General features: G+C 48.2%; 1 long non-coding RNA gene across 1 annotated transcript in view, besides 3 other annotated features; it reads right to left on the reverse strand.

The window, feature by feature from the left end:
- Positions 1-1,039, reverse strand: part of LINC02016 (long intergenic non-protein coding RNA 2016) — a 68,364-nt gene extending 67,325 nt beyond the window's left edge. The window contains exon 1 of the long non-coding RNA NR_110147.1: positions 815-1,039. This is a non-coding gene — a long non-coding RNA (long intergenic non-protein coding RNA 2016). The remainder of the gene's footprint in view (positions 1-814) is intronic.
- Positions 2,061-2,872: an enhancer, noted in NCBI's record as "H3K27ac-H3K4me1 hESC enhancer chr3:127110535-127111346 (GRCh37/hg19 assembly coordinates)". NCBI's record gives its function as "activates a minimal SCP1, AML or CMV promoter by ChIP-STARR-seq in primed H9 embryonic stem cells {active_cell/tissue: H9 hESC(primed)}" and the evidence as "EXISTENCE:reporter gene assay evidence [ECO:0000049][PMID:30033119]".
- Positions 5,210-6,076: an enhancer, noted in NCBI's record as "H3K27ac-H3K4me1 hESC enhancer chr3:127113684-127114550 (GRCh37/hg19 assembly coordinates)". NCBI's record gives its function as "activates a minimal SCP1, AML or CMV promoter by ChIP-STARR-seq in naive H9 embryonic stem cells {active_cell/tissue: H9 hESC(naive)}" and the evidence as "EXISTENCE:reporter gene assay evidence [ECO:0000049][PMID:30033119]".
- Positions 13,066-14,265: an enhancer, noted in NCBI's record as "BRD4-independent group 4 enhancer chr3:127121540-127122739 (GRCh37/hg19 assembly coordinates)". NCBI's record gives its function as "activates an origin of replication core promoter dependent on BRD2, P300/CBP, MED14 and CDK7 cofactors, and independent of BRD4, by STARR-seq in HCT116 cells {active_cell/tissue: HCT116}" and the evidence as "EXISTENCE:reporter gene assay evidence [ECO:0000049][PMID:35650434]".

Consider the following 16,751-nt stretch of genomic DNA (forward strand, 5'->3'; position numbering starts at 1 on the left):
TTTCCTGAGTCCCTACAGTGCGCCAGGAACTCTAAGAGTCACAGGGCATACCACCGTGAGAGCACCAAGATGTGCAAGCCCCTCGGGAGAGGGGACAGGGCAGGGTCATCCCATCTGGGGCCAGGAAGGGCTTCCTGAGCCAGTGCAGATGACGCTCAAACCCAAAGAATGTGATGCAGTTAACTGGACAAAGACTTGGTAGTGGGGTGCAGGGGAGCAGAGGAGAACGTTCTAGAAGTGCTAAGGCCCAGCAGTGGCTGGGAGGGCCTGAAAGAAGGCCAGAGTGTCTGGGGAACACAGATGTGGGGGAGCCCTGGTGGGAGCCTGGAGGAATGGGCAGGGCCAGCTTGAAGGGTGTCCTTGGACCCTGAGTGAGGATTCCAAAGGCTTTTGGGGAGACCAGGTGGGCATTAACCCCGTCAGGCCACTCCCACCTGCTCCACCTGGTTCCAGGTACCAGAGACACCCCATCAGCAGGCACAGGGGCCCCAGCAGCAGCCACATCTCCACAGCCTGACCTCCCACCCCCACAGCTCACCCCAAGCCCAGGTGTTCTGAAAACAGCCCACACCTCTGCACCCCCAGCGTAGCCCACCCTTTTGGTCCTCTTCTTGTTAAAAGACTTACCCTAAAGAGGCAGCTCAGACTCCACCTCCTCCAGGAAGGCTTTTCTGATGCTGTGCAACCCCAAGCTGGATGCTACTGATGGTTTGTGCTGGCAGAGCTGCCCCTATGTCCCTTGATTCTATTCCTGTATCACTATTGACAGTCCCACAGAGCAGTGACATCCCCGGGTCAGGGGCTCTGCACTCACCTGGGATGCTCGACCCTGCATGGGTCACAGTGGCAGCTCCAGAACCGCTAGGTAGGGTGGGGGCTAAATCCCGGCAGGCCGGGTGTCACTATGCTGTGCTGCATTGGCACTGTGTTCTCCTTACACAGGTGACCTGGGCAGGGGCTCTGAGGAGCCGGTGGCGAGTCTGAGGTCTCAAGTGCCCAGGCCCTGTGTGCAGCTACAGAGTTAGGGGCCGGCAAGTGCAGGATTGGCTGTGGAGAGGCACAGGCTGAATTTGGCCCAGCGTAAGCGTTCTGGGAATGTGTGGTGTTGCTACTGGGACTTGGGCTGCCTTGGGTGTGGCTGCATACCGTGGGCCCAGGGAGGTGGGGAGTGGGGACTGCGGGGAGTCTGGGGAGTCACTGAAGATGCAGGTGCTGAAAGACACAGCCATCTTCAGGCAAGCCCGGGCTGAAGGGTGCAGGAACTCAGACTGTCCTGGGGGTTGGGGTGTTTCCCAGAGGTGCTCGTGCTGGGTAAAGGCCAGGGGCAAAGGGAGGAAGCCCAGCCCAGGGTTCGTCCATGCCACACCTCAGGGTCAGGCTCCCAGGGAGCCATGCTGAGCATGGCAGTGAGCACAGAGGTTGGAGCACCACGTCCTGGGGCCCACACCTTCACCTCTTCATCCATAATAGACACAGTGGGACCCCCTGGCCAGTGGGGAGGAGGAGGCACAGAGGCTGCGGGAAGCTCCCAGCACAGGACCCTGGGCTCCATAGTGTGGGTGCCGTTTCCTGCAGAACAGGGACTCAGACATGGACAACCAAAAGTTATCAGAATTGGGGTGCTTAGTAGGGACTAGATCCTGTACAGCCAGCCAAAGAGTAACTAAGCGCCCACTGTGTTACAAGTGCTTTGTCTACTTAGAGGTGAAGGCACTTACCTCTGTGGCAGATGCAGGGATGTGCCTCAGACCTGCTTCATGGAAGGATACACTGCCCAGCTGCTAGGGGCTGTAACCAGACGTGCTCAGCATCACCCCCAGTTGCAGACAGACAGCACCCCTGTGCCATCCTCCCCAGGCCCATGTCCTATGACTGAGCCACACAGGCCTGGACAACCCCCTGCTCAGGACAGCTCTGGTCTACTCCAGTCCCAGGCCCAAAGGGAGTCCTGGCTGTCCTTGTGCCAGCAGTGAAGCTCGGTGTCTCCTCTGCCTGCTCCTGCTCCTCCCTCCCTGCCCCAGACCCGGTCCAGGCCCTCCTGAGAGCCCCTGTAGCTGGTCCCAGGCACCGACACCAGGCTTCCATGGGGCTGATAACCAGCGGGCGAGGTGACAAAACACCAAGTCAGAGGGAGCTTTCCAGGCTCTGCTGCAGGAGCTGTGCAGGCGAGGCAGAGAGCAGCCTGGGGGTGTCCAGAAGGATGTCCCTCGAGGACAGACACTCACATGGAGCCCTGGAGGCTGCAGAGGACACAGCCCTGCTGTGACAGCCAGGAAACAGTATCCCAAGCCATGGGGACAGCAAAGGCTAGGCCGAGGTCTGATGCAGGAGGAGCTGGAGGGCAGAGGGCGGGCGGAGCACCGCCTCGGGAACGAAACAGCTGGGGAACCTGGAGGGCACCTGGATGGTTACCTCTAGGTCACTGTGGAACTGATCTGCCTGCATCCTCCCTCCTGTTTCTGGGGCTGGCCAAGGCACGCTGGAGCTGGGGCTGGGGCTGGGGCTGGGGCTGGAGCTGGCAGGCCGAGGTTCCCACCCCACAGGCACCGGAGATGAGTTGGTAAGAAAAGGGCACCCTCTGGCTGCACTGATTCTGCTGAGGGCTCGGAGGCTCATCTCCCTGGGGGCAGCCCCGGGCGCAGCTGCTCTAAAATCACCCACTCAGCCATTTCACAGGCAGAAATCCTTCGCTTCAGGCATTTGCATCCAAAGCTGTCCGCAGCCTACTCCCCACCGTGGCTGGGTTTAATCTGCTAGCACTGGGGCTGTGGGGCTGGGACAATTAATTAAAGATCCCAGGGAGCAGCCAGCTCTCATTAAGTCCTGCATCAGATGGGAGGGGTGCTGGGGAAGAACACTCTTGCCGAGACTGCACTTTTGCCCCAGCCAAGTATTTTCTCATCTATTATCTCCATCGATCCTGGCCGCGGCTCTAAGAAGAGGGGATTATTATCACCATTTTGCAAGTGCAGAAATGGAGACTCGGGTTAAGTTGTGTGTTAGAGTCTCCCAGCTCCAAAGCAGTGGGGCTGAGATCCACACCGGGCACACTCGGGCTCTCTCAGGATCTCCCTGGAGGTAGGAAGAGCAACACTGCAGTGATGCTCAGGAGACCATGCAGGCTCCACTCCCCAGGGCTGCAGAGAATGGGTCCCAGAGGGAGCTAGGGAGGACAAATCGGGTTCCTGGAAGGCACCTTTGACCCTCAGATGCTATGGGGGTGTAAACTTTCTTCACTGAGGAAGAATTTGTGATTTCCCCCAACATGGGGAAGGGGCAGAGAATTCCCTGGGCATGGCTGGGGCTGACTCTGTGCTGGCCACTCCTGGGGACCCAGAGATGTGTCTTCCTCCCTCCTCACCTGTGCAGAGGAGTTGTCCAAAGACAACCATGACAAGATCTCCTGTCCCACCTTCTCTTCTTACAAATGACTGGGATTGATGGGTTTTGTAGCTGTTTAAACCAACAGATATGGCAGAAGTGATGCTCTTTGACTTCCAAGCCTGGATCATAAAACCTGGATCATGGTGTCTGCTCCCTGGAGAACAAGCCCTAGAAGCCCTGAGCCACCACATTGGCAGTCCAGCTGCCTAAGGCCACCATGCTGAGAGGAAGTCCAAATAGCCCAGGCTCAGAGACACACAGAGGAGCCCTAAGACCATGCAGAGACACAGCCAGCCCAGCTGCACCCACCTCTGCACTTGGCAGCAACCACACGGGAGATGCTGAGCCAGCCCAGTCCAGCACCACCCACCAGAGACAACAATGTGACTGCTGTTGTCTTAAGGCACTGTTTTGTTGGTGCTTTGTCATCCCGCAAGAGTCACTGGGAACAGCATCTCTGAGGGAGAGGGACAGGCAGACCAGGGAAGTGTGGTTGCAGAGTGATATAGAAGCAGATGCCCTGCAAGACAGAAGTAGGTGGCCCCAGGGGATGGGAGTGGGGTCTAAAGGAGGCAGAGGGTTCCTACCAGGGCCCCCAGGGGAAGGCCCAGAGTCAGGAAGGGCCTAAATGGCCTAAACGCTAGTGGCCGGCACCCCGGGGTGAATTCAGAACAGAGGTGCAGATTCAGTCACCAGAGTCCATGCAGCAGAGACATCCACAGGGGCTCCAGCCTGGAGTGAAGTCAGGCCAAGCTTTAGAAAGTGAATGCTGACCACTGTGGGAGGGACAGAGAGGAAAAGCTGAAGGTGATAGGGAAGATTTTTTCCAAAACACCCCCTGGAAGCAGAGTCTTCAGGGAGCTGCAGGAGCTCTTGGCATCTCCAGCCCTGTGCTGGTGTGAATGTCTTCAGGACATGATAGAAACAAGCTGGAGAATGCAAGGACCACAACAGGTGGTGTGGCCTTAAGGTGGAGCCTCCATATGTCCACACCACCCCCAGTGATAACCGGGGGGTGCCTTCCATGTGACAACCACAATCTCTCTATCCTGCCTCACCCCTCACTGTTCTGGAAAGGCCCCAAATCTCAAAGCCCAGGAGAGGGGACACTAGGTGGGGGCCTGAAAGCAAGGCATGTCCCAGGGCCAAGCCCATAATGCCCATCTGGAGACCCCACCCCACCAGTGCTCTGCTGCCCACAACAACCTGGGAAGCAGGTGCCATCCCCGGGTGCATTAAGGAAGAGCAGAGCACTGAGGATGGATCCAGTGACTGGGACAGAGGTTGGGCAGTTGCAGTGGAGACAATCGCAGCTGACCATGTGGCAACAGCATCTGTCCATCATCCTCCATTCGGGGGGCCAGATGGGACCCACCACGGTGCAATCAGAGGCAGGCACCTGATCCAGGCCCAGCCAATCAGTGTTTGACTTAGGGATATTGACCTAAGCTGGGCCAATAAAAATCCACTCTGGGAGTTTGGTGAAAATTCTTGGGAAGCAGACATGTTCTTTCTGCTGGGATGACCAATCTTGTGAAATGAAAACAAAGAGTTGATAATGACCATTTTTGCCACCTCTTTGGGAGTTTTTTTCCTGAGCACTGTGGAGGAAAGCAGAGCAGAGACAAGGAGAAAAGAGAGAGGGCCAATGACATCACTGAAGCACCTGCATCCAGCCACACCTAAAGTCCACCTCAGACTTTTTTGTTCTATGAGCCAGTAAATTCCTTTTCTTGTGTAAGCCTTCTGTGCGCATTTGTATGGCTTGCAAACAAAGGGAGAAAAGAGCAATTACACCTGTAATGAGATGGAAAATCTTTTCATCTCCAGAATTCCTCTTGGGGACAGCACTGTCTCTGTTTGCAGGAAATATTTTTAAGAGCACTGGTGCTGAAGGTAAGAGTCCAAGGGACCTGGTTGTGAGAAAAGTACAAGAAAAAGGGAGAGATGTTCTCCCAGCTTTACCAAGGGAGAGGCAGAGGGGAGCAGGTCTTGGTCTGAATTCCCCCGGGCCTGACACTACCCCACCCTGGGAGCAAATGATCCTGTCTGTCACAGGAGATAGATGTCACTAAGGCAGAGAGGACAGTTGATGCCCCTCGATGGCGGGACGGCAGCACTTGGGTGGATGAAGCAGGTGGAGAAAGACATCCTCTGCTGTGCTCCCCACGACGCAGAAGCTGGAGGTGGGCTCAGCCTTTCCGAGGCTCCCTCACAGTACCAGTTCTGGGTAGGATTTCTGCTTCAGCCACTCACATGCACAGGCTGAGATCCAGAACACAGAAGAGAGCAAGAGGCCCTGCCGGTGCTTTTGCTGCAGCCGAAACCCAGTGTCTCCATGACGAGCCTTTCAGTGAAAGCAGAGCTTGTTGGGGCCTCCCTCCTGCTGTCCACATCACATCTTGCCTGAGTGCACATGGTCACAGCTCCGAGGGTTAAGAGTAGCAATGGGACTTTCGAGGCCTGCTGGTGTGGTTCCAGCAGGAACATCCGGGCTTTCAGATTCCCTGGCTTCCCTGTGATGGCAGGAGGGCAGGCCCACCGTGGGGCAGTCCTGGAGATCGTGCTGAGAGCCACTCCCCCTACCCACCTGGGCTAAATCCTTCATGCTTAAACAGTGAAAGTGGCTGGCAGACAGGGAGGCCAGTTCTAGGTCTGAGATACAAGGGAGTGCTTGGCCTCAGACTGCATCATCTGAAAGGCTTGGTCAGTTATTAGCCCTTGGGTAACCCATCCCCTGAGCACCTGGCTCCCCTAGACAGACTTGGCTAGTCCATCCCCTGCTGGCCTGACCACTCTCCACATGGGTCAGGACCACAACCGCTGGCATCCTAAAAGGAAGGGCCCAGTGGCTGTCTCCCTGGGTGGTGCAAGACAGCAGGAGCCTCCGCCAAGCACTCCTCTGGGAGCCTCTGACTTGGAGACTGTTTCCTCTCTGCCTGCAAAAGGCAGGACCCAGCTGCCCTGAGAACATCTAGCTGTCCGATGATCCTGCTAGCCATTCTCTGCTGTCAGCTTCCCCAAAACCTGCCTGGGGTGATGACAAACAATCACTTTTGGGCTCAAAGGGTGGGAGGTACGGAGAGCTTACTGGAGCTGCATCCGCATACCAGGCGTTGGTGTCACCACAGAAGCTGCTCTTGTGGAGGATGAAGGGCCCACTCTGTTTGCCCTGCTGGGAACGCAGAGAGGTAGAAGATAGACAGGGCCACAGGCTCCCTGCGGGACCCAAACCTACAATAAAGTCTACAAACCCCCCGCAATGGAAGCAGATGGTTCCAACACAAATCAGTGCTTACTATGTGCTCATGCTTCACATATGTTGAATTCCTTTAATTCTTACAACAGCCCAAGGAGGTAGGCACGATTTTTATCACCATTTACGGAGGAAGAAACGGAGGCACAGGGAGATGAAATAACTTGCCCAGGTCACACAGGCAGACGTTAGGGCAGGGGGCAGGAGAAGGATTTGAACACAGTGCGTGGGTGTCCTGGAACAATAGACCCAGCCTCCAAGGAGGGTGGGGCAGACAGGAAAAAGGAGTGAGGGTTGAACTGTCACAGGAGAGGGACAGAGTTTACACCAGGTTTAGGCAAATCGGGAGGAATGCAGAGGGGGCGGGGACTGGGGAGAAGCAGGCAGCTGATTATGCAGCTTGGAGGAAGCCCCCTGTAGTGCGGTGGGGGTGCAGGGCGATTTCTCCCTTTCCTAGAGCCAGATAAACACGTGAGATATATGCTAACTCTCCCCTCGACACCCCAACACGCATATACATACTGCCAAAATAAATACAGATGGTCTCTGACTTAGGATAGTTCAACTTACAATTTTTCAACTTTATGATGGTGTGAAACCATCATAATTTTGACATACTTTGAATTTGAATTTTGATCTTTTCCCGGGCTAGCCGTATGCAGTATATGAGCTATTCAACACTATTAAAAAAATAGGCTGTGTGTTAGATGATTTTATCCAATCGTAGGCTGATGTAAGTGTTCCGAGCATGTTTAAGGCAGGCTAAGCTAAGCTCTGATGTTCAGTAGGTTAGGTGGATTAAATGCATTTTCAGCTTAACAATATTTTCGATTTACTGTGGGTTTATCAGGACGTAGCCCCATTGCAACTCAAGGAACATCTGTGCTACAAAACTGGAACCGTACCTGTAGTCCCAGCTACTCAGGAAGCTGAGGCAGGAGGACTGGAGCCCAAGAGCTCCAGTGGCAAGCAATGATTGCACCACTGCACTCCAGCCTGGGTGACAGAGCAAGTCTCCATCTCTAAAAAACAAACAAAAAAACTGGAACAACTACTGTCCTACTTTGCTAGTGAGAGTATAAATTGGCGTAGATTTTTTCAAAGTAATTTGGCGATATGTAGCAATACCCTTAAAATAGTTATTTTAACTCCTACAATTTCACTGCGAGGAATCTGTCTCAGAGAACTAATCTGACACATGAGCACTCTCTGCACAAAGATGCCCAAGACAGAATCACTCATAATAAACAAAGCTAGAAACAACCCACATGTTCCGGGATAAGGAAGAGTGGAAAAAATTATGGCACATCCATATGATGGAACATTGTGCAGTCGCTAAAATGATGATTAGAAAGAGTTTCCAATCACATGAATAAATGCAGATGGTTAAAATGTAGAGGGGAAAAGACAGGTTACAGAGTGGAGGTCACAGGTTGCATGTTCTCAACCACAAATGGGAAAATGTGCTTGAAAGAAAGACTAGAAGGAAATAAACAAAATTGTTCACAGAAACTGACTTGCTGCTCAGGGGGATCCATTTATTTACTTCTGCTTTTTTGTATTTCCTGGTGATTTCCAAGTTTTGTGCAAGTGTTACCAGAAAGGGGTCCAAATCCAGACACCAAGAGAAGGTTCTTGGATCCCACACAAGAAAGAATTCAGAACAGAGTTCACAGAGTAAAGTGAAAGCAAGTTTACTAGGAAAGTGAAAGAGTAAAAGAATGGCTACTCCATAGACAGAGCAGTCCTGAGGCTGCTGGTTGCCTATTTTTTATGGTTATTTCTTGATTATATGCTAAACAAGGAGCGGATTACTTATGCTGCCCCTTTTTAGACCATATAGGGTGACTTCTTGATATTGTCATGGTATCTGTAAACTGTCATGGCACTGGTAGCAGTGTAGCAGTGAGGATGACCAGAGATCACTCTTGTCACCATCTTGGTTTTGGTGGATTTGGGCTGGTTTCTTTATTGCAGTCTGTTTTATTAGCAAGGTCTTTATGACCTGTATCTTGTGCTGACTTCCTATCTCATCCTGTGACTTAGAATGACTAACCATCTGGGGACACAACCCAGTAGATCTCAGCCTCATTTCACCCAGCCCCTATTCAAGATGGAGTTGCTCTGGTTCAAAGTCTTCTGACATTTTCCCTATCCCTGTTATAAGAAAATCCTTAATTCTAAGGGTTGCAGAAGGATGAAGACCCATCTTCCATAACTTCTTCAGGCTGAATAGGGGCAATGATATTCCTGCCCAACTATTGGGTCTTAATGGTAGAGAGTAGCTCAGTCAGAAAGCATTGGTATGCTGAGGGCCATTCGTAACTCTTGAGTTCCAACAAAAGGTGATATCTTGAAGATTAGTAAGTGTTTAATTTAAGAAAACCGTGTGTAAGCTTGTCTTGCATTCCTATACAAGGAGTACAACAGCAATATATTCCAAAACAGTAAAGCAAAATAAGTAAAAATTATTCCAAGTACACTAAATAAGAAGGCTTTCCATAAACTGGGCAACTGTTGGAACTAAGCTGATATGGGGTTTCTAGCTGATTCCAATGTGTCCAGAATTAGAATACTGATCCAACTTTTTACATTACTCATCCTTTTTGGTTTTTGTTTTTTTGTTTTTTGTTTTTTTTTTTTTTTGAGCAGCAGCCAAAGATCACTGGTTAGTTCACAGGAATAAGTAGGGTCAGCCTAAGTTGCAGGAAAAAACTCAAAAATAACCCATGAGACTAGAATCTAATAACAAGTGTACCATAGTTCTTGAAAGGTAATTTCTCTCTCCAGTTTCCTATTTTTACTAAAGACAAATCACAGTTAAAACTGATTTGCTTTAGTATACTTGGCCTAATTATTTGTATAAAATACAGCAAGAATAATTATTTTTCACATAGACTTTTTAATTGGCTTTGATGGAACTCTGTTCCATAAGGAATCTCAGATAAGACTTTTTTAAAGCTCAGCCCAGCCATGAGTTTGTACCATGAAATACCTAAGAGTTGAGTAAATTCCTCTCCTCCTGAGGCTCCAAGATAACTTGGGGCTCCTCTTGAGGTTCCAAGATTACCTGGGGCTCCTGGGCCTGTTAGAAAGTGACATTCTTCACTTACCACAAGTCAAGAACCCTGTACAGGGACTGTGTACACAAGGTACAAGACCATTTTTCCCAAGGGCCTTTTATTGGCTCTCTAAGTCAAGTTTAATTCCTTAAAGGAAAACACACCATTCCAGTCAAAGCCTTGGTAAAATAGCCAGTTTCTCTATATTGCCACAAGTTAAGCTATTCACAGATAATTTCTGAATTTTGGAGAAATCAGGTAGAGAGAAACAAATATGCTCAAATTTTTTTCACAAGAATATACTTTACTCAATTGTTTAAAGCTGTAAATAGCTCAAAAGAAAAGTTTTCTTGGCTCTGAAAAACAAACGAAGGATTAGCAACGTTTTAAGCAAAAAGTCAAAAAGATTACTTTAATCTTCTAGTTAAAGTTCAGTCCATGCAGTTAACTCCTGTTTTGTTGGATATTCATGAACATTTCAGCTCTCCATGAACGTCCTGAAAGTTTTTTCCTCTATTCTAATATCACGGTTTCCAAAGTTATCAGAAACCTGCATTTAAGAACACCTATTAGAGTTTATAGCTGATTATAAACCACCTTCTAAAGAGGATTAAAACAAAGCAACAGTTGTCCATGGATGACAAAACATTTTAGGACAGCCACAGTAAAAAACACGATTGACAAAGAAATTTGGTTACTTCTGTGGCATACAATGATTTTATGTAACAATTATAATTATTAATAACCTACACTAAGCCGTAAGAGAATTATAGGAGTTTCCCATTATTTTGAAACACATACCAATAACATATTTATACAAATATAGCTCAAAGAAAGCCAAATACTATTTCATATTTGACAGTGCTTTCTGTATGATTTTTATACCAAATAAGCCAAATTTCACCTTTATATTAGTGTGCTATTAATGTTAAACCCAATTCTTAATAAAATTTTATAAGTAAATCTATCCAATTTTATGTTTGACCATAAGATTCTCATAAACCTTTTCTAACCCTTTGCAATTTTTTGTTAAAGAGCAGATTAGTGCTCTAAGAAAAACCTGTTGTGCTGTTATTCAATGTTCAGTTTACGGGAAAACTGAATAATACCCATTTAATTTTAGCCAATGTCCACACACAGAATTTCTTTTACAATTAATTTTTCACAAACCTTTCACAACTTGCTTAAACCTTCGGCTTTATCTTACCTGACTTAAAACAATCCTTTAACCCTTTAATTTAGGCAAGAAAAATCCACATTCCCATGATTTCTTATAATCTTTTACCAAACACACATTTCCCTTTTCTTACACACGGTGCATGTAAAACCATTTCTTCAGTAGCCTCAAATACATGTTACACTGTTAACTCTTAGTAACTTTTGCTTTTGGTGAAAACCTTGGTAAGTATGCAATTTTAATTATGTACTAGGTGTGGAGCCTAGGACACTAGATAAGGTCGGTCTTTTTTCAGCACAGCTAGGGGGCAGGGCTAACACCCCACATCCCCAGGCCTTATCTAAATCTAATGCTTCAAAATAAATTGAACAATTTTTAAAAGTCAAAGAAGCAGTTTATGACCTTAAAGCATTTAGCAAACTTAAGATCTGACCTGCCTAATTTAGACCAAATGTCTTTATTTTACCAATAATCTTTAAAGCTGTTTTTATTTCCCAAAGATTATTAAAGTCATGTGAACTAAAAGGCATTACAATTTTTTCTTTTAAAATATTTGATTTAAGCTCTTATTATTTTAAAACCAATTAAGTAAAGCTCTTTTAGATATAAACATCACACACACAATATATATAAATACCCAGATAGACAGAAGATTATGTAGTTGTAAGGTTTTTTTACTCACCAGTTTCTAAGTTTCTCTTTAAGGTGTGCAGTTTTTAGGGCCTCATAAGCATGCACAGCTGGAAGGCAAAACAGATCCCCAAAATTTAAGGGTCCCATTTTTATACCAGATCCTGGATCCCAAAAAGAGGGACTTAGCCCATCAACCCTTGGGAGTTTTATTTCTCAGTAGCGGGTGGGGACATCTCCACGTTTCCCAGGTGGCCAAGATCATGCTTCTCTGATCCAAATGTGTGAAAACCAAGTTTCCCCCATAACTGCTATTACACATCCCTAAAAGTATATTTCCTGCCTACTTACTACACACCAAAGTTCTCTCATAATGCGAAGGAACTTCTGATACCACCAAAAGTAAAAAAACATCAGATAACGCAATACAAAACAAAACAGAACCTTAGGTTTTGAAAGGGATCTATTCACTTTCAATTCCTAAGGTTTCATGAGGAAAACAGGTTTTTCCCAAAACGGGGTCTTTAGTGCCTCTTCTGTTTTTCCTAAGGAATCCCTAGGGCTGTTAGAACTTGAATATCTGCTTTTAATTAAGCTGACTTTTGACTATCGCATTCTTTTGAAAAGTCCTTTTAAATTTCTTATTACCCGACGTTAGCCAGGCCAAATGACCGATATTTCTGGCTTTTAAACTTTACCAAAAGTAACCTCACAGGGGCTCTGAGAAAGGAAAATTTAAGACGGTTTGTGGAGGGAAAGAGAATTTTAAAATTGCAAAGGACACCCAAATATCAATCAGAAAGGCTCATCCCTTAAGCTAGCGATTGAACCCTGAATCCAGGCCTCCATTGTGAAAAGAGAAAGCATGGCCAAAAGGTTACAAGGTCAAGCTCCCAAAGACATGCAAGACAAGAGGGAAACCTCATCCAGTTTTTTTTTTTTTTTTTTTTAGGGACCAGCAACAAAGTTTGTAACTGACCAGTTTGCTAGGCTGTCTTGAACAGTGGACTTATAGGTGTCCTAGGCCCACATTCTATCCTAAGGTATCCCTCTCCATGACAGAACCATACAGAAAGACACACAAAGCACACCAGATTCACTACAGCTTAAGACTAGCCTCACAAATCCTTTTTTCCATTAATCAAAACTTTACAGAGGAGATAAACGGTGATTTTTACCATTCATTCCACCAGTTTGCACAGAGAGAGAGAGAGAAGCTTTACCTGACGCAGGGTGGGGAAGGCGAGGCACTCAGGGAGGCCAGGGAAAGAGCCACCCATTGCAGCAACACTGAAAAGTTCAGGCAGCTGCTTCTCAGTCCTGAAGGGATCTTTTCCAGCAGTCCCATCAGTTCTCAAGTTTCCCCTTTTAGGGAGGAAAAAGTTCCCCATGTCCCACGATCCTGTACATGCCTAACCCTGTCACCCATTACCATCAGCAAAGAGTCCAAGACAGATTCATCCAAGAGAATAGCAGTTGCCATCCCATAGTGCCAAACCTGTTCTTAGCCAAGAGGGACTTTACTGAAAAGGGCCTCTAACCCCCTAAGTCTTAGGAAGGACTCTAACCCTCCTAAGTTGGTCCTCAAACCCAAGGTTGGTCAAGCGTCCTTGCCTTTTATCGGGAAGAGCCTTTAACCCTGTGTCTTAGGCTAGACTCCAACTCCCCTAAGTTGGGCCTCTAACCCAATCCCACCCTTTACCTGGGTACACCATCACTTACCCAAAGTCAGCCAATCAGTGCTGCAGTCTATTTCCTTCAGATGGTTGCGGGGGTGGGAGGGGGGCGATGTGGGGGTTGTTCTTCAGTATCGTCCCTTCTGTGGTTCACCAGAAAGATATTACCAGACCCCACCACTCACCCAAAGTTAGCCTTTGGGTCGGGGTTTCGGCACTATAGTCTCTTCAGTGGTCGCAAGAAAGATATTACCGGAAAGGGGCCCCGATCCAGACCCCAAGAGGGGGTTCTTGGATTTCGAGCAAGAAAGAATTCAGGGTGAGTAAAGTGAAAGCAAGTTTACTAGGAAAGTAAAGGAATAAAAGAATAGCTACTCCATAGACAGAGCAACCCTGAGGGAGGCTGGTTGCCCACTTTTATAATTATTTCTTGATAATATGCTAAACAAGGGGTGAATTATTTATGCCGCCCCTTTTTAGGCCATATAAGGTAACTTCCTGATATTGCCATGGCATTTGTAAACTGTCATGGCACTGGTGGGAGTGTAGCAGTGAGGACGGATGACCAGAGGTCACTCTTGTCACCATCGTGGTTTTGATGGATTTTAGCCGACTCCTTTAATGCAAGCTGTTTTATCAACAAGGTCTTTATGACCTGTATCTTGTGCCGACCTCCTATCTCATCCTGTGACTTAGAATGACTAACCATCTGGGAATGCAGCCCAGTAGGTCTCAGCCTCATTTTACCCAGCACCATTCGAGATGGAGTTGCCCTGGTTCGAATGTCTCTGACACAAGGATCAGTCATTTCCTAACCAATCAGGAACGATTTTTTAAAAGCTTTTCCTATCTTAACGTGTGCAAGCTTCTCTTTACCTAGCTCCCAAGAGAACCTGGAGGAGAGAGACAAGCAGGCTTGCTTCCAAGAATAGTTCTGGGTAGTGGTCCCAGGAGGCCACATCCACTCAACTCCACTGAGTGACCAGACAAATGCGCTGGTACAAACAAGAATGGATATAAACTCCTTGTTTGGACCCCAAAATGCAATTGTGTAAATATAGGATGGGGAATACCCAGCCTGAAAAAAAAGTTGTAAAAACAGTTCAGCAGCTTTAGCCAACCACAAGCTGACCTTAAAATCCATACTGGGACAGAGTATCTTAGGTTGCATCACAAGAAGTATAGTGACCAAAATGAAGGAGGTGACAATTACAGGCAGACCACATCTGGAATTCAGATTAGTTTTGGGTCCCTCAAGACTCTCTGTTAACCCATCACTTCCCCAACCTGGGGACCAAAGCCAGGTTCGCAGAGGGTCTCTGAGGTTCCTTTCTTGCCCCTCTCCATCTGGTACCAGGGAAAAGGAAGAAGGTAACAAGAGGCAAAGAGAAGAGCTGGCCAGAAGCCAGGAAACTTGTTCCCCACCACATCAAGTGTGTAATTGGGCTAATTCTGTAGTATTTGTGCTTCCAGGCCTTTGTTTCCCTTTGTCTGTATAACTCCTGATTGGAACATTTGCTTTTCCTTTTGTGTGGTCCTAAACCGAATCCTCTCTGCTAATGTTCATGAATGTGTTCTGATGGATGTTTTCCAGAGCCCTTTGTTGCCTCAATTAAGGGATAATGAACAAGAATTGTTTCTATTTGTAAAACAGCCCAGCCATTTCTGCTTCCCAATTGGTGGGACAATGTGTCTTAATTAAGCACAAAGACTTGTCACTTCATCTACTGTCAAGATCTCCAAACAGGCAGTGATAGGGTGCAGGGGAAAGAAACAGAAGCCTGGGGGGTCTGGGGGGCCCCTCTGATGCCTGGTTGGGCCCAGAGGGGCCAGGGAAGCCCAGTGGGCAGCTCCCAGGTGTCAGGAGCTATGCCAGATCATCTGTAGCCTCGGAATGCCTGGGCAAGACACCTGGCCTTTTTCTACGCTGCTGTGCCAGGCCTTTGTCACCAAGAGCATGGTCTCTGGAAGCAGACTGCCTGGGTTTGGTCCCTGCTCCATACTCACTAGCTGTGTGACCCTCACCCAGAACGTGAGTGAGAATAAGTAAAATGATGACGGCCCCCACCCCACTGAGTGTGGGCAGCTTGAATCTGACAGCACAGGGGAAGCGCTAAGAACAACACTAGGCTCAAGGAAAGCCCCTCAGTAAGTGCTGGTGACGATATTCTTTCTAAAAACAGTGCTCCGGATTTCCTCTGGGCTCTCCTCCTCCCCCAGTGGATATGTGGTTCGGGAGAACAGAATCACAGCTGTGTGCCACCACGGCTCCATGTCCCCGGTAGCACAGAGCGCGGCAGGACATTCCTGGAATGAGCTGCAGGAATGGTCCCACAGGCAACCTGCAGACAGTTGTGACATCTTGGCAGGAACACCAGCCACTCAGGGGCCTGGGGCCAGGCATTCATCCACTCACCTTGGGTGAGTAGGAAGGTGGATGGAATGCCTGGGAGAGTCTGGAATGGAGCCACACTCAAGGAGCTCCAGGCAGTGGCTCTTTACCCTGCTGTGTGCAAAGACTTCAGTAGCTTAATAAAGGGCACGGCCGTCCAGGTGCCCAATCACATGCCCTGCTGGGACTCATGACTACCAGAAACCCCTCAGAAGTCAGTTTTGCAGAGCCAAGCTGGAGCCTGCTCATACCCCACACACACCCCTCAGGCCCATCAGTGGCAATTGAGAGCTAGAAAGACATGACCAGTGTTTCTCAGATAGGAGTAGCACCAGGTGGTCACAGGAAGATGGAGAAACCCAAACAACAGCTAAAACGAGAACAGGGTAAAGAAACCACAAAATAACCAAAAACCCAAAATAAGGGAGAGAAAACGGCCCAAATCCTGGTCACGGTGACACGTCCATAACATGTCTGTGTCTTATTTGGATTTCCAGACAAACCCAAATAAGAGAGAAAGGGGCAGTAACTGGGGGTCCCTGAGATCCCCTCCTTTTCCAGAATACCTGGTGATTATTCCACCCACTGATTAGACACCCATAAAATTAGAAACCCAAACCCTCGGTTCATTCTAACTCCTCTGTGAATTCTTTCTTGGACGGTATCAAGAACCTGGGAACTTGCTGGGCTGGGATCTCACTGGCCTCTGGAGACCCTCCTGAGCCCTCTGGCAACGTTTCCCTCGGCCCCGGATCCCCGACCCGCTCAGGCTCCACGAAGACAGCAATGTGTGTCCCCAACCAATTCCCAGTACTTCAAAATACCCCACTCATTTGTGGAGGAAAAGACCACAATAGGTCTTTTGCTTTCGGTGGGAATTCCCTCAACCGAGGGCCACACCAGGGCTGAGAGGGGCTCACATTGCTCAGATGTTTATATTGATGATTGACTCTGGGGTTCTATGATTGATACCAAACCTGTCAATACAACCTTTACAAAAAGGGTGCAGACTGCATACCAAGCCCTGCCTGAGCTTCTTGAGTCTATTATCCAATTGAACTCTCACAACCACCCCCCAAGACAGTTATCATCCCTATTCTTGCCATTTTACAGATACAATCGCTGCAGCTCAGAGAGGTACAGGGAGCTTCCCAGAGTCACCAGGAAATTGTGG

The sequence above is a fragment of the Homo sapiens genome, chromosome 3 (genome assembly GCF_000001405.40).
Source record: "Homo sapiens chromosome 3, GRCh38.p14 Primary Assembly".
NCBI classification, from domain to species: Eukaryota; Metazoa; Chordata; class Mammalia; order Primates; family Hominidae; genus Homo; species Homo sapiens.